The sequence below is a fragment of the Homo sapiens genome, chromosome 13 (assembly GCF_000001405.40).
Source record: "Homo sapiens chromosome 13, GRCh38.p14 Primary Assembly".
Taxonomy (NCBI): domain Eukaryota; kingdom Metazoa; phylum Chordata; class Mammalia; order Primates; family Hominidae; genus Homo; species Homo sapiens.
The window spans coordinates 113,192,288-113,214,471 of NC_000013.11; the positions used below are offsets into that span (position 1 = coordinate 113,192,288).

The window sequence follows — 22,184 nt, forward strand, 5'->3', positions numbered from 1 at the left end:
AATATGAATTTTCTTAAATCTTGGTCCTTGAGCACACGTTTTTTATATTCTTTGTGATGAAATGAGAAGCATACAGCACTTCTGTTGCACACGGGTGTCTCATGGCTGTTTACAGAAAAGCTCTGGGCAGCTGTCTGAGCTGTGAGCTGAACTAGCTGCTTCTTGCAGAACAGAAGACAGGCAGACACAGCTACCCAGGCTTGGGCATCTGGCTGACCATATTCTCCAAAACGAATAGAACAAATCTGTCACTTCCAGGCAAACAACTGATGGTACTCGTTGCCAATGACAACATTTGTGCTTTCAAGAAAAACCAGAATTCTGGAAAACTTTTATGAACTACTGTGAGCTTAGCAGCTTTTCCTTACTCCAAGGCTTTTCTGATGAGGCCCCTGGAGATGTTAAGGAAGGTAGGGGTTTGGGGGTTGGGTTTTTAACAGTGGTATATCAGCACTTGGGAGGTGCTGCATGGCTCAGTAAGCTAATATACTCCAAATGGTCTGCTATGGTCTGAATGCTTGTGTCCCCTCCAAAACTCATGCTGAAATCCTAACCCTCAAAGTGACGGTGTTTGGAAGAGAGGCCTTTGGAAGGTGATGAGGTCATGAAGGTGAAGCTGTCATGAATGGGAAAGAGAGATCCCTTGCCCCATCTACCATGTGCAGACACAGCAAGATGCTATGAGCCAGGAAGCGGCCCTCTTCATCAGAAACTCAACTTGATCTGGACCTCCCTGCCTGACTTGATCTGGACCTCCCTGACTTGATCTGGACCTCCCTGCCTCCAGAACTATGAGACATAAATGCTTGTTGGTTACAAGCCAACCCAGTTTATAGTATTTTCTTATAGCAGCCCAAATGGACTAAGACATGACTAACACAAGATATTACGAAATCCATTCAGTGCTTTAGGCAGACCAGTGGATTTCAGTGTAAAGGTAGAAAAAGTTTATTGGTACACTTCAGAAGCCACATTGTAACTAACCTTTTTAAAAAAAAAAAACTGCCTCTTGGAGTTTTCCTATATAGAGTCAAAGAATTATCTCAATGGTCTGGAAAGCCTATGAGAATATTCCTCTCTTTTCCATCTACAACTTTGTGATGTAGCCTTTCACCATCAGGCAGAGAAACACTTTACTCAAAACAGTGTACTGCAACAGAGTAAGTGCAGAAGCAGGCAAGGGGACCAGATTGCCTCTGCTGAACTAGACATCAAAGAGGTCAAAAGTGATGTGACACTACTTTTCTTAGTATTTTGTTTTGGAAATATAGTTATTTTTTATTTAAAAAGTCAGTTATGTTACATGTAAAAGGTTTATTATTGTTGCTTTAAAATGAATATTTTAAAATCTTTTCTAATTAAAATTTCTAATACAGTAAATATAAATAGATATAACAAAAATAAAAGCTTTCTGAGGTCTTCAGTATACTTTTCAGTTCTAAAATTTCCATTTGGTTCTTCTTTATATCGCCTATTTCCTTGTTGAGACTTTAAATGTTTTCATTTGTTTCAAGCATGTTCTAAATTGCTTGCTGAATCAAGAGGGCTGTTTAAAACTCTTGTCACATAATTCCAACATTTGTACAATCTCAGCCTTGGTGTCTTCTGCTGAATGTTTTTTCTCATTTGAAATCTCTGAAAGTTGAGATTTTCCTGGTAATCAGTGTCGATTAGATCCCGGACATTTGAGGCACTACCTGACGAGACTATGGACTTTATTTATCTTGTTTAGCAGGCCTCACCATGCAAGCAGAGAAACAGGTGCATCCCCTTAGCCACTGAGTCGGGGAGGTCTAGGTCCCCTGCTTAGCCTCTGACATCCACCTGGTGGGGAGGGGGACTAGCTCCTCATTACTGCTAGCCCAGGGTGGAGGTCCTGGGCCACCCCCAGTCCGCACCACTTTGCAGATGGGGTGGGACGGACCTGCTGACTTCTTTGCGCCTGGCACTGGAGTGAGGCAGTGACGGTCAGAGTTCTGTCTTGCTGGATTGGACTGTCTTCCCAGCCTCCTGGTTTCCTTGGGGCTTTTTGTCTCTGCCTGATGGTGAAAGGCTTCAGGTTTCTAACGCGCCCAGTCCAGGACAGACAGGAGACAAAAAGGAAACCTGGAGACTCCCTACACGTGACTCTGAGCCCCATCCCCCTCTTCTCTCCACCTCCCATAGCCATGCCGGCCTGACAACTCCCAGGGTTTTAACTGTTTCTAGCAGGCACAATAGGGTGAAATCCATTGCATCCTGACTGGAACTGAAGTCAACAATCATTTCTAAAACTGTAAAGGGGTCGTCCTAAAACCAAAAGGTTGACAAATGCTGCTCCATAATGGGGACTTCCGTGGGTCCCCATGGGGACGTCGCCTCCATAAAACCCAGGATCTCCCTTCACCCCAGGGAAGCCCCCTCCTACTGCCCAAATCTATATGAAGCTGAATTCTTTTTGGTGGGGGAGCAGGCCACATCTTAAAGGTAGAAGAGATGCAGAATAAGCTCATTTGTTGTTGTTCCACTCACTTCATAAAAATAACACATACCATAAATGGTTAACCACAAAATGGAACCTCTCCCTCTATATGAACAGTGTGGAAATCTGAGCAAATGTTTATATAAATCTGTTGGTGTTAACCCAGAAAGAATAGTCAATATCTTTCTTTTGCTCCCTATACCAGACACATCTCAACTCCAATTTGCTCCTCAAAACTTCTGGGAAGAATGACATGAAATTAAACAACAGATAGTCACCAAGTTTTAGTTTTAAAATAATAATGACAGCAAATTAAACTTACATTATTGGCAAACACTCGAAGGTCAAGCGCTACTGCATACATGACAGGCAGAGCCCTGCAGGGCAAAAAAGTAAACAAGTGTGAGGGGCTACGTGGGCCAAGATTCCATCCCCAGAGGTGGGAAGAACACGGACACCCAGGGCTACTATCCAGAATGGAGTCCGCACTTATCCAAAACTCTGACAGTTGTCTGCTTCCTCACCTTCTGTCCAGGCAGGCTGCAGGCCTCAGACTTCCTGATCATCCTGGGGCCCCACAATGCGGTGCTCCACACCCCTGTCCCCAACCCTGTCAGAGACCTCAGCCCTGCTTCAGTTCTGGGCTCCCAGGATATCCTCCTCCCCTCAGCTTCCCACCAGTATCCAAACAGCACCACTAAAAAAGAAGTGGTTTGATCAGATTTCCTAACAGGAACCAGAATATGTAATACACAAAATGTCACAAAACAACTTTTACAGCCAACTGGCAAAACTGGACTGTTTTCATGTGCAAGTTTTCACGTTAAAAGATAAAAGGGTGGCGGGAGGCAGAGGCTGCAGTGAGCCAAGACTGCGCCACTGCACTCCAGCCTCGGCGACTGAGCAAGACTCCTTCTCAAAAAAAAAAAAAGATAAAAGGGCGGGTTTGTTTGCAAAAGGCCTTTGGTTATTTCAGTATAAACAAATTTCAGTATTAACCTATAGTTTGTTAATAAATCATAAAATTTAGTTTGGCAAGGCATTTAAAAATACCACCATTATTATGTATTAGAACACCCCAAATGAACCGTAGTTGGTCTACCTCTTTTATCTAAGGTTTAAAACCAAAAGTTCAAAATTGACAACTGAAGGAAAAAACAGTATTTAATAAATATCTAGGGAAATGGACATCTGAAATAAAAATAATACTATATTGACATAGACACACTGCAAACAATGTGGCTGATCTACCATTTCAGTTTACTAGATTTGTGACTCCACTCATCTGTGTAGATATTACCATATGTCAACACACTGATTACCAAATATCCACATGGAAAATACAATACACATTTATTTAAAGCAAATTTGTAAAAAGATTCTGCTAAAAAAATTGCCATTTGCTAATTCAGCTGTTTCTGTTCACACTTACCAGTTTTCTTCTTTGTGGGCCTGGAATGCTCGCAAGAATGATGTACTGTATTAAGGAAGATATGGCATACAAAGTTCAAATAATGCTACGTACGATAAAAGTAAAGAATAAGAATCTAAATTTTAAGGAATGTAGATCACCCTTGAGCAGATTTATGTTGCAACAATAGTAAGTTCTTGAAGGAAAAAAGGTATAAGCTCACATTACAAATATCTGTATCTCATTAGGCTCAAGTATACTAAATACACTTATTTCATACACACTGTCTCCTAAATAAAAAAGACTTACAAGATTTTTTAAAATCAGCCCTTTCTGACATTTTATTTGGTTTCTCTGAGCCCAGATGATCATGAGTTATATTTAAGTGCTTTAGAATCTGTAGCATAAGGCTGATTTTATCAACTCTAGAATTCTTGAATTCTAAGGAGGCTGTGAGCAAATAGCCCAACTCTCTTCTGTGTATATTTAAACAAGGTGGTTAAAACGAAAAGACAAAATCTAGAGATACATACAAATCCTTAGCACACTCACTGACTCAGGCCGTAACTAAAGATACCCTTTAAATGACTGAAGTATGAATTGGTTTGATTTAAGGTCTTCAGCTGCCACAATTCAATGCCGATGTACATCTGAGGCCACTCTTGTCCATCTCTGCCTGAATTCTGGATTTCTGGTATTTCACCAACAGGACTTAACCAGTCCCTGTAAATATACTTACTACCTTACTAAAGGCAACAAAGCATTCTTCTTCTCAGCAGAGTAAGATCCTTCTTCCTAACCAGTGTTCTTCCTTACTAAGTACTGCACGAGTCTTCAGATCCATGCTAAATTTAAGTACCCAAGTGAAAGAGCTGAAACGAGCTTCTGTTCCAAAACACTGTCATTCCTTTCTAACTGCAGAAATGAGCAACTGGCCCAGTGTTTCCGGGTCTCAAGTCCCAAGTAATCCACTGCATGTGTTCTATGCGGGACAGCTGCCATGAACGACAAAGGATATTGGACTATCACGGTCTGGCACTTGTATGCCTCTATGAAGTCATGATTCCCCACTGCATAAGTGCACCTGGAGGAGAAACAGAAACATGCTGTCACACAATAAAAACCTAGCACTAGTTATGCAGCCCACACAGCTCACTTCATTGCACAGGTCCCAGTGGTCCTGGGATGAAAGGAGTGAAGGAAGAAACACACAAATGGCTGAACACAAACAGGTGAGGATAAGAGGAAGTCCCACAGTAAGCTTGGAGACTACTCTTTCAAGTCCCAGAAGGACCTAGCACCAGCAGGTTTATGAGTAACACATGTTGATAACATAGTATGACCCTTCCACTCTAGCAGGGGCTGACAATGACATTCAAACTAGATTCCCAGCTGGGTAATGTCAGTGTTAGTTCATCGCCAAATCTGGAACCTATCGCACACTGCACAGAGCTAGGAAATCACAGGTGCTTTGTACTACAAGGAACACGGTGGTGCCCCAACTCTTCCAAAGACCCTGTGGGGTTCACAGAACATTCCTGCTCACAGACCCCACACTGGTCCTGTAGCCCAGGCTGCTCTGAAAGACAGTAATCAAATCTCACATGGCTATAAGGACACAATCTTCTGCCTGAACTGATCCTTTAGAGATAAAACAGTAGATATGAAGTGTACATAAAAAGTAGCATTGTTTGCTTTGCTCAACTCTAATTTCTTTCCCAGTAACGTAAAGAGCTTCAAAAACAGACATATTTCCACGAAAAGGGTAAGTGAACAGTTCGGCTCCAAACTCTACTAAAAAGACCACTAAGCAGGCACTCTGCTAAATACTGTGTGATGTTAAAAATAGTATTATATAACTGATGTTTACAATTTCCACAGGCTTTACCAAACTGAAGTTACAAATGCATTTTCCCACTTTTTCAAAGTCAGTTATTCACTGCTTCAAGCACAAGATAATGCAAGATAAAATCCCCAGTTAATTCAGCAATTTCCAGATGTGTGTGTTTTTCTTCCTCCCCAACAGATTACCTTAAATGAGCTGCAAACATTTCATCATAAGGGGGTTCCAAGACTTGTTGACACTTCTCCTCTGGAGAGGCCATCTGATTTTAAAAAAGAAAAATAGCAAAAGTAAAATTAATAGGCACAGAAAGAATGCAACATATAGAAAGAGATTTAAACCTCTGTTTCAAGAGAATTTATGCTTTACAGTTCACAGTAACACTTTATATTTACCACTCTAAATAAAAGGTTCAGGCCGTGAGCACAGTGGCTCATGCCTGTAATCCCAGCACTTTGGGAGGGCGAGGTGGGCAGATCACTTGAGGCTAGAAGTTCAAGACCAGCCTGGCCAACATGGTGAAAGCCCGTCTCTACAAAAAAAATTACAAAAATTAGCTGGATGTGGTGGTACACGCTGGTAATCCCAGCTACTCAGGAGGCTGAGGCATGAGAATCGCTTGAACATGGGTGGGGGAGGTTGTAGTAAGCCAAGATCGTGCCACTGCACTACAGCCTGGGTGACAGAGGGAGACTCTGTCTCATAAATAAATAAATAAATAAATGGTTCATTACTTCAACAAATATTTATCAATATTTCAGGGGAAAAAGAAGCCCATGAATATAATTTGGTCTCGCCTTCTGCAAGTCAGAAAATATTCTAGGCACTTTCATATACATTTCAGTATATTAGTATTCTTGACCAGTCAGTCAAGAAATACTTGTTAAGTAACTGTCATAGGTTTAGTAAGTGAGGTCTAATGAGTTACAGATGGTGCTATGTTAGGACTCGTTCTTCTCGGCTTCCTGCTGAGACCACCAGTCTCATCTCCTGGGCTAGTCTAGCTGACATTTCTTTCTAAGTTTTCCTTTCCTCCTAACAGTCAAATTTTAGATAATCTGAACATCTCAACAGGTGATGGTTAATTTTGCCAACTTGACTAGCTGTGGAGTCCCCAGACAATGTTATTTCTGGGAGTGTCTGTGAGGGTGTTTCTGGATGAGACTGGCAGTTGCACTAGTAGACTCAGGAAAGTAGATGGCCCTCCTCAGTGTGGACGGGCAATGGCCAATCTGATGAGGGCTTGAATAGAACAAGAGGTCGAGGAAGAAAGAATTCACTCCTTGTGTGGGATTTCTTGACCTCTACAATCACAGGACCCAGTTCCTCATACTAAATCTCTATAAATATTGATATATCCCACTGGCTCTGTTTCTCTGGAGAACCCAGACTAACACACAATGGATTATAAGCACACTGCGTTTTTTTGTTTTGTTTGGTTTTGTTTACAAAAGCAATGAGCCCATGCTGATATGGTGAGAGAGAAGAATGACAGTATCAGAAAAATCACCATTCTACAGTCCCTGGTGAATGAAACCACCGAAAGAAAGTTTACTGGGGAATTTTACAATGAAGGGATCTGTCTCAGATTGCAAACAGGACAGTGTGTGTCCTCTCATGTCATACAATACAAAGCACAGGGCACCAGCCATGGGGTGTTCTGGCCAAGGCAAGCCTGAGTCTCATCGAGTCTCTAGCACTAACTCCTACTTAGAGCAATGGTTTTCAACACTGTCTACACATAGAATCACCTAGGTAACTTTATTAGAAAAACAAAAACAGGCCTGCTGCTACTTCAGAGACTGATTTACCTGGTCTGAGTTGCAAGTCTGTACACCGCCAAACATAATCACCAATAGATAAGCCCATTTTTCTTCCAAAAGAAAAATGCTGCTTCCAGTAGGAACACACTCCAATATGATAAAGGGTGTCAATGAGGAAACAGGGCTTTACCAAATGTCCACAAGATTTTCTATAGAAAATACTGCCTCAACATCATCTACGCCACAGATGACATGGAAACTCCATGTACAACCCCAGGCTGGGCCTTGGCTTGCCAGCCTTTCTGACTAACAACTTAAATGGGAGACACCTGTGGTACATGACGTCTATGGGGCTTTGGGGACGCACAGGCCTAGACAGAATCTAAGCTCCACCGCCTCTCCACCATCTAACTTCTCTAAACCTCAGAGAGCTGTCTAGGAATCAAACACAAGGGCAGGAGGTCCACATCACCACAGTGTGCGTACATAGTCAGTGCTCCACAAATGGATTGAAATTACATAAATCATAAAGAAACTTTAAAATTTTCAAATAAGAGTGACAATATTAGTTTTCTTCTTACTCAAACTCTACGCTTCTCTTAGGAAAGTGGTTACCCTGTAATTGTCTGCAGACACCTGTGTGCACAGCTCTTTCACCTACTTGAAGTCGTGGGTTTGCAACATGAGGATGTTTAAAAGACACCAACTCTGCACAAGATGCTCCATCTCTGCTGTCGATGGCTTCGTACACCTGAAACATTTGAAAGGGAAACCTAAGTAGAAAATAAAATATTCTGTTCGAATAGAACCTACAACAATACACTGAATGCCACACAGGGGAAAATTCATTTTCCCCTACTTTGAAAGAAGACAGAACAATCAAAATGTAACAGATGGTCACTACTCTCTGCAGTGGGTAAACAATAATTTCTTTTTTTTTTTTTTTTTTTTTGAGACGGAGTCTCGCTCTGTCGCCCAGGTCGGACTGCGGACTGCAGTGGCGCAATCGTAAACAATAATTTCATTTCAAAATAGGTTGTTCCTGGCTGGCTCAGGCCTGTAATCCCAGCACTTTGTGAGGCTGAGGAAGGACTGCTTGAGCCAGGAGTTCGAGACCATCCTGGACAACATAGCAAGACCCGTCTCTTTAAAACAGACCAAAAAAACAAAAACAGATGTTCCTGAAGCAAAAAAACAGGTTAAGCAAATAAAAATAAGTCAGTGGTTTATCATGTAGCTCTTCATGAAGATGAATTATTCTAATTTTACTCAATCACACTAATATATGTTTGAAAATCCAAATATACAGCTTATGAAAAAGAAATCAGTTTAAAAACCACATATATCCAAAATTCAAAAAGCTTCCACTCAACCTTAATATAAAATAAAAGGAAAATGGAAATAGCTAAATAGATGTCACATTCATACAATGCGATACTCGGCTGCTGTTAAAAAGAATAAAATAGATCTGTATGTAGTAAGATGAGAAAATGTCCACAATATGATGATTAAATGAAAAAAAAAGTTAACTGCAGGAAAACTGTATAACTTGATTTGGGAGAAAAAAGAAGAGAAAAATTACGTACAACATGCAGGCACAGGAAAGAATGCAGGGCCTGTACCATACCACACCAGCTGACTGCGCAGAACGTCGGGTGGAGACTAGGAGACCCGGGAGCCTTTTGCCCTATCTAGCGCCTGCCACAACAGACATTTTATAACTAGAAAACCAAATATGCTTTTAAATTATATTTACAAAAAAATTGCCGGTCACGGTGGCTCACGCCTGTAATCCCAGCACTTTGGGAGGCCGAGGCGGGCAGATCATGAGGTCAGAAGATCGAGACCCTCCTGGCTAACGCAATGAAACCCCATCTGTACTAAAAATACAAAAAAATTAGCCGGGTGTGGTGGTGGGCATCCGTAGTCCCAGGTACTCGGGAGGCTGAGGGAGGAGAATGGCGCGAACCCAGGAGGCGGAGCTTGCATGCAGTGAGCAGAAATCGCGCCACTGCACTCCAGCCTGGGCGACAGAGCAAGACTCCGTCTCAAAAAAAAAAAAAAAAAAAGGACATAAAAATTCTAACTAAGAAAAAAGGCAAGCACAAAGCTTTAGATACAGTATAATTTAACTATGATAAAATTAAATATTTACATTTTATGCTAACACAAGACTGACCGGGGATGTCATAACATGCATGTGCAAATGGCAAAAAAGCACAAGCAGATGAGATCCCTCTACACACCCACAAGAGTACTTACAACTAGGAAGGCTGATGACACCAAGTGTTGCCAGGAGCCTGAAGCAACTAGAAGGCTCACACATTGGTGATGGGGTAACTTGGGGTAAATTTTTAGAAGAAAATTGGTATTCTACTAAAGCAAGCAAACGCCTACTCTCTGACCCAGTAATCCTGTGCCCAGGTGTCCATACCCAGAAGAAAGGGAGGCACATGCCACCAGTTCAACACACTGGAGCCCAACTCCTACTACCCCATTGTTCAACTCAGGGTATGACAGGGAGGCTGACACCACCTTCCTGAAGACTAACTTCCATGATAAGGAATTTCCCCCCTGACTATTCCATACAACTACACATGCATTTACATTTTGAAACAGTAATCACACTGCCAGGAACTTACAACTAGAAACAGAAGGTATTTGTACTCGGCTACATGTAATCACAAAATATTGGACACAAACTAAATATCCATCCATAGAGACAGGCTGAATACTCTGTGAAACATCTATTTTAAGGCACACTATGCAACCATTTTTTGAAAATGAGGAAGATCTCTAGGAATTTACATGCAATAATTTCTAGGAAGATACAGTTAAGTGAAAAAAGCAAGTTGTAAAAGAGTATGTATAGAATGCTGCGTCTTGTATAAGAATGAAGGGAAACAAGAAAAATATGTGTGTTTATGTCTGTGTGTGTGTCACATGTACATCCCAAAAGGAAATACAGGATGGAGAAGGCAGAATCTAATGCAAATGATTATCTTTCTAGAGAGGGGGGTGGAATGAGGTGAGAGAGAGAAGGAAAGTTTCTGAGCACACCTTTAAATATAAGTTACTTACAACCCCATTCAAGAAATAAAATAGAAAGACAAACCTTAAAATTGAAACAAATAGAAAATACATACCTATATGAGTAACCTTTGAAAACAGTAGTTTGTGGAATTTGACTGTCCTTATTCTAAGGACAAAAAGACTGCCAAAAACAAAACAAAAAAAATCCTGAATTTCAACATCACTGAGTAGAATGTTGTTGGTGGCACTAGGGCCCTAATCCTGAACTGCTTGTGAGTGCAGTGGGTAGGGCGGTGTCGCCGGGACCACAGTCGTCAGTGAGAAAGAGCAGCACTGGCACAGAGCAGGAGAAGGGAGAGTCCCATGGGATTTGGGTTGGAGGTGTAAGCAGGAACTTAACTTTATCTTCAGCTGAAGCCATCTGAAGACTTGCAGGTTTTCTGCCTTCATAGGAAAACTACAGCCATTCAGAGGCAGCCCTCCTGCCCCAGTCCATGCAAGGTCACAAGCTGCTGCTCAACGTCACATCATAGCCTAGCTCCTGACATTTTCAAAGTCACAAATGGGTGCAAGACGATTTGGGCCCAAGTATTATGGAAACTAAGTTTCTCTTCATAGCCCTGGCCACAGGTTTAGGGATTTCATCTAAAAGGTAGACAGACAGATACTAAGATCCTCAGCTGTTTAGGGGAAAGGGTTAGGTTTCCTCTTTAAAATCACCATGCTACAGATCAGTATTTTGCAATTTACAACACTGCATTTGCCAATCATCATCAAGAAGCTGAAGATGGCCCCAAGAAGACAACACTGGTATCTGCCCATCCTCTGCAGGAGGCTTTCCGGTGTCCCCTGCCCACGCCCTGCAAGAACTCACTGGTGCCCAGCTCCAAAGGGGCCTCCTCTGGCTCCCTCGAGACCATCTGACCAGGTGCAATGGAACAGCGCCCTCAAGGATGAGGGTGGCAACTGCCTTGGCCAGGCAGGCACACTGCGTCTTCCCCGTTTGCCCTCCCATCAGTAGTTGGCCCTGGGATGGAAGGCAAAACAACCGATCCCACCCAGGTCTTGGTCTGCAAGTCCCCCAAGAAAACCAGTATTAGTCAGTTTAGCCCCAGAGAGGATATGCCTTCCAAAGTGGCCCTCCCTGTGCCATGTGGGCAGGCCTAGCCACAGGAGCCCCAACAGACTCCAACCTTGCTCAACTAAGGGGCTTCTGGCTAGAAAGCGGTTCTGGAGCCTGCTGGCCAAGCCGTGCTCTCTTTGGTTCCACACAAACAGGAGGTTCAAGCTAAGAGTTCCCCACAGCCACCCCTGCTTATGGTTCCAGGCACTCCAGGCCCCGCACTGTGCGATCTCTCGCACCACCCAGGGCCTTGCACTGGGCCCAGCCCCAGGAGCCTGAGAAGAGGAGTGTTCTGGTTAACATCAGTACTCTGGTGACAGGTCACACTTGAGCATGATGTTCTGATGTTGCCAAGGCCTCCAGAGCTCTCTGCAGAAGGAACCTATGAGTGACTGAAAGCTGAGAGTCCCAGACTTGGAGCAAGCACTGTGGAATGGAAGCATACTTCAATGACTAAACACACTGGGGACACAGTGGTCACGAAGGGATCAAACCCTGGAGTACAGACACCGGGGCCCTCCAAGGAGAGGCGGAGACCCCTGCTGGGGGCACTCACTGGTAGCCCTCCTTTGCCTGTGACCTCCCAGGGTGGTCCCTGCACATATGCAGGGTGATGTCGCCACATCCTGGGCTCTGCTTGGCCACACCTACCTGGGCTGCACCCAGTGTCCCACGGGTGACCTGACCAGAGGAGGGCTCAGTGCCACAGGGCCTTGAGCCCAAGGAGGGCCCCAGCTTGCTTGGCAGGCATGAATGTGTCCCAGGGGTGGTCCTATCAATGCCCCTGCCTCAATGACTAAACTGTGAGAAGACTGGGGATGTGAAGAGGAAAAGCAGGGATGGCAACGGACGGTACTTGCAAGCCCTAAAGGTGCGACTGGCGCCGCAGTGGACACAGGACCCCTAGCAGCCCAGCCACCTGGCCAACTCTTAACAGCTCATGCTGCAGAGCCTTCAGCCCTCAATGGGACCACACAACCAGACTCCAAGTGAGCACCTTCTGAGCGGCACCCCCAGGCCTGGCTCACCAGGGGATGCTCCCTGGCTCTGGCCCCAGGAAGACTTCCTTGTGGTTGCTGCATGCCCCTCACGCCCTCCAGTCTGGTCCACAGGAGGCACCATCTACTCTTGGAACTCATAACTCTTTTAAAAATTCAAAATCATTACAGGTCATGAACCTCTGAAGTCACTTCTGAATAGTCAAACTTTCCAATTCCATAAACTCTTGAAAGACAATATGAAGAACTACTGAAGATTAAGGAGTAAAGTATCTAACTCAAAGCTGATTCCCTAAATAAAGATGTTCACTACACCTGTAAAAAAGAGAGGTGTTCTTGGCAAAAGGAACATAATGAAGAAAATCTTTGGGACAAGAAAGATCATGGGGTGCCACAAGAAGATACCACTCCGCACCCAGCAGGATGGCCATAATAAAAAGAATGGAAAAAAACAAGCATTGACAAGAAAGTGAAGAAATTGCAACCCTCATACATTGCTGGTGAAAATGTAAAATGATGCAGCTAGCTGCTTTGGCATTTCTTTAACAAGTTAAACACAGAATTACCATATGACTCAGCAATTCCACTCTTAGGTATATGCCAAAAAGAATACAAAACCTGCGCAAGAATGTTCACAGCAGCAGCACAACAGCCAAAAAGAGGAAACAACTGAAGTGGTCCATCAACTGATGAATGGATAAACAAAATACTCCATACAATGGAATATCATTAGCCATAAAAAAGAACGACACACTGACACATGTTCCAACACAGATGAACCCTGAAAACATGATGCAAGGGAAAGACACACAAAAGCCACATACTGAAATCACCAGAGTCAGCAAATCCATACAGACAGAGAGCACATTAGCGGTTGACAAGCGCTCGGGAGGGAGGACCAGGGAGTGACTGCTTAATGCTTATGACATTTCCATTTGGGGTGACAAAAAATTCTGGATAATGGTGATGGTTGTGCAATATTGTGAATGTACTTAATTGTGTACTTTAAAATGGTTAAATGGTATATTTTAAGTTATGAGTACTTCGGTGGGGCAATGGTGCATTCAGCATAAGTGAAATAAACCTTCAGACTGGTGATGCCAAGTTAACAGGTAAACATGGACCAGATGATGTGCTAAAGCATTTGGAACTTTCCCTGGAGGAAACAGAGAGTCAATGAAGTTTTAGTAACAGAGGCAGATGCTCAACTCTTCTTCAATAAAATACCAGAACTATCATTTACTAAGTAAATGCATTTACTGTGAATTCATGGTCTTTTTAATTCTCACAACTTATGTGAAGCCTGTTTAGAGATGGAGAGTCACAGAAGTTAGATAACTTGTCATGGTCCCAGAATTAGTAAAAATGCCAGGATTTGGGCTGAAGTCTTATTGTCTTTAAAGTCTATGGTCTCTTTGCTGTGTCTCACTTGGAAAGGGCAAAGTAAAGGAAACCATCAACCAGTACCTGCAGCAGGGCGTCCTGGCTGGGGAGCATGTGGCAACAGATAAAGAAGGGATGGATCTGAGAGACTTCGGAGATACATCCAATTAGGTAAAGGACTATTTGCTGAGACTAAAGGAGGAGTCAATGATTTCCCCCAACTTCCTAGCTTTGATGAATGTGCAAATGATGGTTTTATTCCCAAAGAGATACAGTGACATTGGCACTTATGTTCCTATACAACAAATCAAACATGTGTTACCATGTATAACCGGTTGCCATTCTGTATCGAAGAGGCACCTATTTTCTTAAAATATTCAAGAATCTGTTAATACATAAAACTTAGGTAACATGCCAGTTCAACCAGAAATATTTTTATCCATCAGAATTAGGAGGAAGCGGACTTTTTGCTGTCTCACCCCAGTGGCTACACTGCCCTTTGCGGAGATGTAGGCATGCACATCTCCATAGAAGTCCATCCTGGGCCCAGCCCCTGTCTACTCTCTCTACTTGTTCCCTGGGTCACCCCTTCCCTTCTCAGTCTTTCCCATCATGTGACTACGAAGGAGTCTCAGGTTTGTATCTTTAACCCAAATCTGTCTGTTTAAACTTCAGTTTACACACATAGAGTAGAAGCTCGCTTATCAGTCTCACTTTAACTGACTTGAATTGGAAAAATGACTCTCTCCAATCCCTCCCTGAAATACACGAGCTGATGCCCAAGGTATGATGACGACTTTCAGCAAGTAGGCTTCACTCTAATACATCGCAAGCTTTTGCCAGCTAAGTTGTATGTGTTCTCATATCCAGATGTGTTTGTTCTCAAATCTATTTTTGCTACCCGAACCTGTTATGGTAGTTATGTACTTTTAAGCTCATCAATGAAATATGAATGCAAAAGGAAACAGTTGTTTCTCTATAAGCTAAGTTGTATGTTTTTAAAAGGCTCACTTGAGTTTGTTAAAAAAATAATTAGGTATGGGGGAAAAATTGTAAAAGATTAAGAAAATTCTAAAGATAATCGTATCAAATTGGTTCTTAAATGCCTATATCCTTGTTTAACTTTAAATAAACTGATATTGGAAAATGTTAAGTCTGCTAAGATTAGGCCAAAACAGACACAGCCTAAAGAAAAGGCCCTGGGCTTACATCAAAAGATTGGCAAGTATAGAACTTGAGGTAAGTGGTGTAAAAAAAAAATTGGCAAGTGAATGTATACTTTCATGTTTTAAGTTAAAAACATACATCCATTTCTTCGTGATTCCTGTTTTAACCAGTTTTCTCAATTAACCAAGCAACTGCTGGGCCCAATCATGTCAGACTTTTCAGCTATCAAGTACGTATCTTTACCCAGTTGTCAACAGACACCTCAAACTCAACATGCCCAAAACTTTATTTCTCCCTCCAAATCCACTCTATTCATCTTTTTCCCAGATTACAAGCCTGGGAATCATTCTTAACTCCTCCGTGTCCCTCAGCCCACCCATTCTTATTCACCACGTCTTGGTAATGTTTCCTTCAAATATTTTAAAAATCCATTCCCTATATTTCCTATCCCTGTTACCACAGTGCTGGTTCTGAAGACAGGCATAGTTTAGTGGAAAGAATATGCGTTGAATCTTTACAAGTGTCCATCTTTTAACTGTGCTTCTGCTACTTACAAGCTGTTGAACAACATCTGTCAGACGCATGTACCGAGCGATATGAAGTGTGCATTGTGCTCGGAGAGTGAAGGGCGTTAAACGACAGCGAGGACGAGGGGCACGAGCCCGGCCTGCAGCACGGCCACAGCCTCGCGCTTACTCCTCCATCGCCTCCTGGAGTCCCCGAATTCATCCCGCATCCTGCTGGGAAACAGCGTCCATCCGACACAGCACCGCCCACAGCGGGCCCTCGGCGTGGCCCGCAGGCCCTTCGGACCGCCTGGGAGCGCGGCCACACGTGCCAGCAAGTGAGGGCAGCGACCTGGGACCGCCGCGTCTACTTACACCGCGACGACTCCGCGATCCACGGACACCGCCCGGCCCCCACGGCGGCCCTGCAGGGGAGAACTCGGGCCGCCTTCCCGAGTCCCGGCCGCCGCTGTTCGGCTCGCGCGGCTGCCCGCCGGGGACCCGAACGGAAGAAGGGTGGCGAGGCGGGAAAGGAAAAGGCCTGAGGGTCCAAGGCAGGAGGGGACACACGGAACACGCCGAGGGCCAACCACGCCGCCGCGCGCTCCCCGGCTAGGACCCACCTGCTGCAGGTACTGGTTAATGGTAATGTGCGCCATGGGAGCGCCGCCGAACGGAGAGCGCCACCCCCTACGCCTCAAGCGGGCCAGCTGGCGTCACTTCCGGCCCTCGGTCCGTCTGGGTCCTGGCGCCCCCGGCCCCGCCGCGGGTGCGCAGGTTGGTTCCGGAGGGAGAACCTGGGGACCGGCTCGGCGACGCGCTCGGGCTGAGGGGGCCCGGGGTCTTTCTGCCGGGGCCCCGTCCTCTCAGCCGGGACGCCAGCGGCTCTGATTGTGTGTTCGGGCCCGCCCGGGCTGAGGGGTTTGGGGTCCAGTGGCGAGGACAGCCCCACGGCTAAACTGCCTTTCACTGCGCTGACCCTTCGTCTGCCCCTTGTGAAAACCAGGCCGCGGAGGACCCTCCGCGCCTGGCTGGGCCAGGGCCTCGGGGCGCGCGCGCCCGAGGAGGGGGAGGGGGAGGGACATGGCGCGCGCTCCCGAGCTCTCATAAGGTGCCTCCGCCGCGCGCTCCCGAGCCTGCAGGAGTTAGGGCACGTCCCGGCGCGCACCCCTGAGCCCTCGAGGTGGTCTCACGCCCGGGGTGGGGGTGCCGAGCCCTCAGGAGGCGCGCGCCCCGGGGCCCTCAGGAGGGTGTCCCGGCTCCCGATCCCCTCAGGAGGGGTGCCCGCGGCACGCATCCCCGAGCCAGGAGGGGGTGCCCGGAGCCCTGGGGGCAGGGTCTCGGTGCGCCCCCCGGAGCCGGGGGTGAGGGTCCCGATCCCTCAGGACGGGAGTCCCGGCGCGCGCCCTCGAGCCAGGAGGGGGTGTCCGAATCTCTTAGGGGGAGTCCGATCCCTCAGGAGGGATTCCCGGCGCGCGTTCCTAAGCCCTCAGGAGTAGCCGGGCGCGGCGGCGGTTGGGCTCGGGCACGCGGGCGGGGCGGGGCGGGGCGCGCGAGGAGGACGGGGCGGAGGCCGCGCGGACCGGGGCGGGCGGAGCGGAGCTCGGCGGGCGGCGGCGCTCGGGGCGGGGCGCGGCGGTTCCGGCCCAGCCATGGCGGACGAGGCCCCGCGGAAGGGCAGCTTCTCGGCGCTCGTGGGCCGCACCAACGGCCTCACCAAGCCCGCGGCCCTGGCCGCCGCGCCCGCCAAGCCGGGGGGCGCGGGCGGCTCCAAGAAGCTGGTCATCAAGAACTTCCGAGGTGGGTGCGGCGGCCGGGTCGAGGGCCAGGCGCCCCGGGCGGGGACCCCACGAGACCCCGCCCGACTTGGGGGGAAGGCCCCGAGATCCGTGCGGGCCCCGGGAGCGGGGGCGCCGGGGCGCCGGCCGGGTCGGGGGTGGCTACGCGGGGCGCTTCGCGGCGCGCCCTGAGCCGCCCGCTCTCCCTCCGCCCTGCAGACAGACCTCGGCTGCCCGACAACTACACGCAGGACACGTGGCGGAAGCTGCACGAGGCGGTGCGGGCCGTGCAGAGCAGCACCTCCATCAGGTACAACCTCGAGGAGCTCTACCAGGTGAGGCGGCGGCCGGGGCTGGGGACGCCGCTCCTGCCCCGCGTGACGCAGACGCGGCCGGGCGGCCGCTCCGGGTGCCTCGCAGGCTCTCGCCGGGGAGCGGAAAGGCAGGGCGTTTGCCTCCACTGCAGGGCCGGGAGCCCCAGAGGCAACAAGTGGTTTTGTTTATTGCCGTGGTGGAATTTTTGTTTTCAGGCTTAAGCTGCTTAGAACCATATTTAAAGTTATCCCATTACGGAAGAGAAGGAGGTGTGTTTCTAGGAGCCACGTGACTCATATTTTGCAAGTATACGGCAAATTATTTTCTCGTTATATGTAAAACTCATGACTGTGTCACTTGCCACAGTAATAAGAGGGTCTTTTCTCTGTTGTGTTTTGTGATTAATGGTTGCCTTTAAGATATTCAAACAGATTTTGAAAAAATTCAAAATTCAGAAAAAGTGGTTTTGTTCTCTGTTGTGTTTTGTGATTAGTGGTTGCCTTTAAGGTATTCAAACAGATTTGGTAGCATTTAATTCAAAGTGATGGTGTTCCGTTTCTGAAGTAACAAAAAAGTACATTTTACCATACTTGGATATTTTATTTATAAGCGACTTTTTTTCTGGTGTCTTCTTTTTGTAAAGTAACATTCATTCAGTAGTCTAATATCTATATTTTAGGTCACGATGTGTCATACAATTATTTCTATTAAAAGGCTTGAATTAAAAAAACTTTTTTTCTGGATATGCAAGTGACTGCATTGTAAAAATTATAAAAAATACAAAAAAGAAGACTTCAATCACCTATACTCCTACCACCCAAAGAAAACTACTGTTGACAGTTTGGTGTACATACATCCATTCTTTGTCTGAAGTGTAAGTGGATGATGTTTTCTTACCAGCTTTGAGATAGAGTCTACATATAATGTGCACTTCAGGAAGTTTTAACAGATGCATGCAGTTACGTAACCGGCACCACGGTCAAGATGGAATCTTTCTTGGTAGAATGGTAGAATATTGCTACCACCCCCGAAATTGCCATGACCACTTTTGCAGTCAGCCCTCTCCCCTGACTCCTAGCCCTTGGCGGTCCCCCATTTGCTTTCTGTTACTATATTTTGCGATTTCTAGAACCTTATCTAAATGCAGTCATGTATTTCATAGTCTTTTGTATCTGGCTTTCACTTAGGACAGTGCTTTTGAGATTCATGCACAACGCAGTGTGATTGTAATTTATTACCTAGTAGAATGGGTATACCACAGTTGTTTTATCCATTCACCAGTTAATGGACATTTGGGTGTCCATGTTTGGGGTTTTTTGTTTGTTTGTTCTTTGAGACGGAGTTTCACTCTTGTGGCCCAGGCTGGAGTGCCATGGCACGATCTTGGCTCACTGCAACCTCCACCTCGCAGGTTCAAGCGATTCTCCTGCCTCAGCCTCCCGAGTCGCTGGGATTACAGGCACCTGCCACCACGCCTGGCTAATTTTTGTATTTTTAGTAGAGTCGGGGTTTCGCCATGTTGGGCAGGCTGGTCTCAAACTCCTGACCTCAGGTGATCCACCCACCTCGGTCTCTCAAAGTGCTGGGTTTACCAGCATAAGCCACCGCGCCTGGCCTTGGGTTGTTTTAAATAAAGCTGCTGTAAACATTTGTGAATAACCCTTTGTTTGGACATATATTCTTACTCCTCTCAGGTGAGTTCTGCTTACTTCTTTATCTAGAAGTAAGTTCTCAGGGTCATATGGAAAATGTATGTTTAACTTTGTACGGAATTTCTTGTTTTTGCAAGTGACTGCCCCTTTTGCGTCTCTCCCAGCAGTGTATGGGAGCTCCGGTTCCACTCCGCCACCAGCGTGTGCGTCTCTCCCAGCAGTGTATGGGAGCTCCAGTTCCACTCCGCCACCAGCGTGTGGTGTCCTCAGTCTGTAACTTTAGCTGTGCTTGTGGGTGTGTGGTGGAGTGTCATTGTAGTTTTAGTTTGCATTTCCCTCTGATGCTAAGCATCTTTGTATTTACTTGCCATTCTATGTATCTTCGTTGACGAAGTGTCTATTTAAATATTTTGCTCATTTTTATTGGGTTGGTTATTTTCTTATTATTGAGTATTTGAGTTTATTATGTATTCTGGATACAAGTCCTGTATCAGATATTCGCCTTGCAAATACTTTCTGCCTAGTCTTCAACTTGTCTTTTGATTCTCTTAACTGTGCCATTTGAAGAGTAATTGTTTTAAGTTTTCAAGTCACATGTATCAGTTTGTTCTTCTATGGATTGTGCTTTTAGTATCCAAGAAATCTTGCTTAATCTGAGGTCACAAAGTTTTCTCTTATACTTTCTTCCAGACATTTTAGAGTTTTAGGTTTTACATCTAGGTCTACGATCTATGTAGAGTGAATTTTTGTATATATTGTGAAATACAAATCTAGAGTCAGAGTCGGGTGCAGTGGCTCATGCCTGTAATCCCAGCACTTTGGGAGGCCAAGGTGGGTAGATCGCCTGAGCGTCAGGATTTTGAGACCAGCCTGGCCAACATGGTGAAACCCCATCTCTACTAAAAGTACAAAAAATTAGCCGGGCGTGGTGGCAGGCACCTGTAATCCCAGCTACTTGGGAGGCTGAGGCCGGAGAATCGCTTGAACCCGGGAGGCGGAGGTTGCAGTGAGCCGAGGTTGTGCCACTGTACTCCAGCCTGAGCAACAGAGTGAGACTCCATTTCAAAAAAATACAAAGAAAAGTCTAGAGTCAGTGTTTTCCCTGCAAATGTCCAGTTTTTCAGTCTCTTTTCCCCTACTGAATTGCCTTTGCTCCTTTGTCAAAAACCACGTAGGAGTAGGAGGAGTGAGTTGTGAAATCAGGGTGTGTTGGCCCCCCAGCTTCATACATTTGCACAGGTTTCTGGCTATTCTTGGTCCCTTGTGTTTCCATGTGAATTTTAGAATCGGCCAATTTGTATAAGAAAGTGTGCTAAGATTTTGATTGACGGTATATAGAATCTACAGATCAATGTAGGAGAATTAAATTCTTAACAGTATTGAGAGTCTGGGCTCAGTGGCTCACACCTGTAATCCCAGCACTTTGGGGGGCTGAGGTGGCCTGATCGCTTGAGCCCAGGAGTTCGAGACCAGCCTAGGCAACATGGTGAAACCCCATCTCTACAAAAAATTTAAAAATTAGCCTAGTGGGGTGTTGCATGCCTGTAGTCCCAGCTACTCAGGGCCCCCACACCACAACCTGGAAGCTCTTCACACAGGAAGCTGAGCAGTTGGGGCCTGTTTGTCTCCCATCTTTCTGAGATTCACTGTCTTTCATAGCCCAGTACTCAGTGCTTCGAAAACTGTTGCTTCGTATATTTTGCCTGATTTTGTGGTTATTTCAGGCAGAAAGTTAATACAGTTCTTGTACTGTGTCTTGACTAGAAACGAGTCCCACCTGAACTCTCAGAGGTCTTTGGTTTAATAAAATATGATACCTTACAGCTAAAGCTTCTTACTACTCTTTTCCTGGAGATTTGGCTGTCTGATATCTGCTGCCTCATTATTTTTACTTAAAAAGGCGGAATTACTTTGCAACACCTTGTACACAGTGATATGTCTTATAAAACAATCACTAGATATTATGAACAATGTTTGTAGGTGCCTTAGGTGTCTGTCTTGAAACCCTGAGAACTAGGAGTGCTTACCCCAAAATGACAGTCACTGGTTCCTCCTTGGAATGAGACATCGCAAATTCCAGGGGCATCTCTGGAGGTGCTGCCCCACCAGGGGATATGTGGAATCAGTTGATTCACTTACTTGTGATCATCTCTCCACGCACAGGTGGGCTTCTGGCCTCTCACAGAGTCTGAAGCATGAGCTGCCTCAGATCTATTGGAAGCAAATGGGATAGAAATCTAAGAAAAGCAAATGTGAAATTACTGATGTCTGATCAAGCAGGCAATACATTTGACTTGGTGTTTCAAAATAAAGTCTCAGTTTTTGTATAGGTGGGGTGGTGTATACTTTGCCAAAGAATCTTATGTGAAAGGACCAATTCTCACCCAAGTTTGAAAGGTTTGGTTTCGTGTTTGGTTTTTGGTTTTGCTCACTCTCCCTCTACGTCTAAACACCTTAGGAGTCCTGTCACTTACACTTTTTGGGCCTCAGCTGGCCTGTTGTTTCTGTTTGTTACTTTGTTTTTATCATTTTCCTCCTGTAGTGTGTAGAGGAGAATGTTGTGAAGGCATGGATCTTTTCCATTGAACGACCTGAATTTCGGTCTGTAATAACTAACTCCTGAAGAAAGTGCATCTTCTGTGTCTTGTGTCTCTATGTTTTAGTCCTGCTTGTTGCTAAATGAGACAACAGAAAACTGAAGACTGCATTTCTAGAAAGGTTTCAGAGAAAGGCTGTGTTTTGATTTAGAAC

At 45.6% G+C, this 22,184-nt stretch overlaps 2 protein-coding genes across 34 annotated transcripts in view, besides 6 other annotated features; one reads left to right on the forward strand and one right to left on the reverse strand.

The window, feature by feature from the left end:
- The window catches only part of PCID2 (PCI domain containing 2), a 43,668-nt gene extending 27,286 nt beyond the window's left edge, over positions 1-16,382 (reverse strand). For 11 of the 23 annotated variants that reach the window (XR_001749631.2, XR_007063692.1, XR_007063691.1 and 8 more), the window contains exons 1-6: positions 16,312-16,382; positions 8,140-8,229; positions 5,904-5,977; positions 4,891-4,956; positions 3,894-3,935; positions 2,784-2,838 (exon numbers count right to left, since the gene is read on the reverse strand). Coding sequence is in view for 18 of the 23 variants with exons in the window: in NM_018386.5 (NP_060856.2) it covers positions 2,784-2,838; positions 3,894-3,935; positions 4,891-4,956; positions 5,904-5,977; positions 8,140-8,229; positions 16,312-16,347 (363 nt within the window). In the remaining 5 variants the exon portion in view is untranslated. Of the gene's footprint in view, positions 1-2,783; positions 2,839-3,893; positions 3,939-4,731; positions 4,957-5,903; positions 5,978-8,093; positions 8,230-15,736 lie in introns of those variants that run through there. The other 12 variants (NM_001320655.2, NM_001258213.3, XM_047430478.1 and 9 more) reach the window with 8 other exon arrangements.
- Positions 15,437-16,087: an enhancer, noted in NCBI's record as "NANOG-H3K27ac-H3K4me1 hESC enhancer chr13:113862038-113862688 (GRCh37/hg19 assembly coordinates)". NCBI's record gives its function as "activates a minimal SCP1, AML or CMV promoter by ChIP-STARR-seq in primed H9 embryonic stem cells {active_cell/tissue: H9 hESC(primed)}" and the evidence as "EXISTENCE:reporter gene assay evidence [ECO:0000049][PMID:30033119]".
- Positions 15,906-22,184, forward strand: part of CUL4A (cullin 4A) — a 58,916-nt gene continuing 52,637 nt past the window's right edge. For 4 of the 11 annotated variants that reach the window (NM_001008895.4, NM_001354941.2, NM_001354942.2 and 1 more), the window contains exons 1-2: positions 17,326-17,488; positions 17,686-17,801. In NM_001008895.4, coding sequence (NP_001008895.1) covers positions 17,341-17,488; positions 17,686-17,801 — 264 coding nt within the window. In that variant the 5' untranslated portion in view covers positions 17,326-17,340. The other 7 variants (NM_001278514.3, NM_001354938.2, NM_003589.4 and 4 more) reach the window with 5 other exon arrangements.
- Positions 16,088-16,737: an enhancer, noted in NCBI's record as "NANOG-H3K27ac-H3K4me1 hESC enhancer chr13:113862689-113863338 (GRCh37/hg19 assembly coordinates)". NCBI's record gives its function as "activates a minimal SCP1, AML or CMV promoter by ChIP-STARR-seq in primed H9 embryonic stem cells {active_cell/tissue: H9 hESC(primed)}" and the evidence as "EXISTENCE:reporter gene assay evidence [ECO:0000049][PMID:30033119]".
- Positions 16,272-16,561: a silencer, noted in NCBI's record as "silent region_5539". NCBI's record gives its function as "represses an Ori minimal core promoter by ATAC-STARR-seq in GM12878 lymphoblastoid cells {active_cell/tissue: GM12878}" and the evidence as "EXISTENCE:reporter gene assay evidence [ECO:0000049][PMID:35858748]".
- Positions 16,822-17,091: a silencer, noted in NCBI's record as "silent region_5540". NCBI's record gives its function as "represses an Ori minimal core promoter by ATAC-STARR-seq in GM12878 lymphoblastoid cells {active_cell/tissue: GM12878}" and the evidence as "EXISTENCE:reporter gene assay evidence [ECO:0000049][PMID:35858748]".
- Positions 17,192-17,521: a silencer, noted in NCBI's record as "silent region_5541". NCBI's record gives its function as "represses an Ori minimal core promoter by ATAC-STARR-seq in GM12878 lymphoblastoid cells {active_cell/tissue: GM12878}" and the evidence as "EXISTENCE:reporter gene assay evidence [ECO:0000049][PMID:35858748]".
- Positions 17,582-17,821: a silencer, noted in NCBI's record as "silent region_5542". NCBI's record gives its function as "represses an Ori minimal core promoter by ATAC-STARR-seq in GM12878 lymphoblastoid cells {active_cell/tissue: GM12878}" and the evidence as "EXISTENCE:reporter gene assay evidence [ECO:0000049][PMID:35858748]".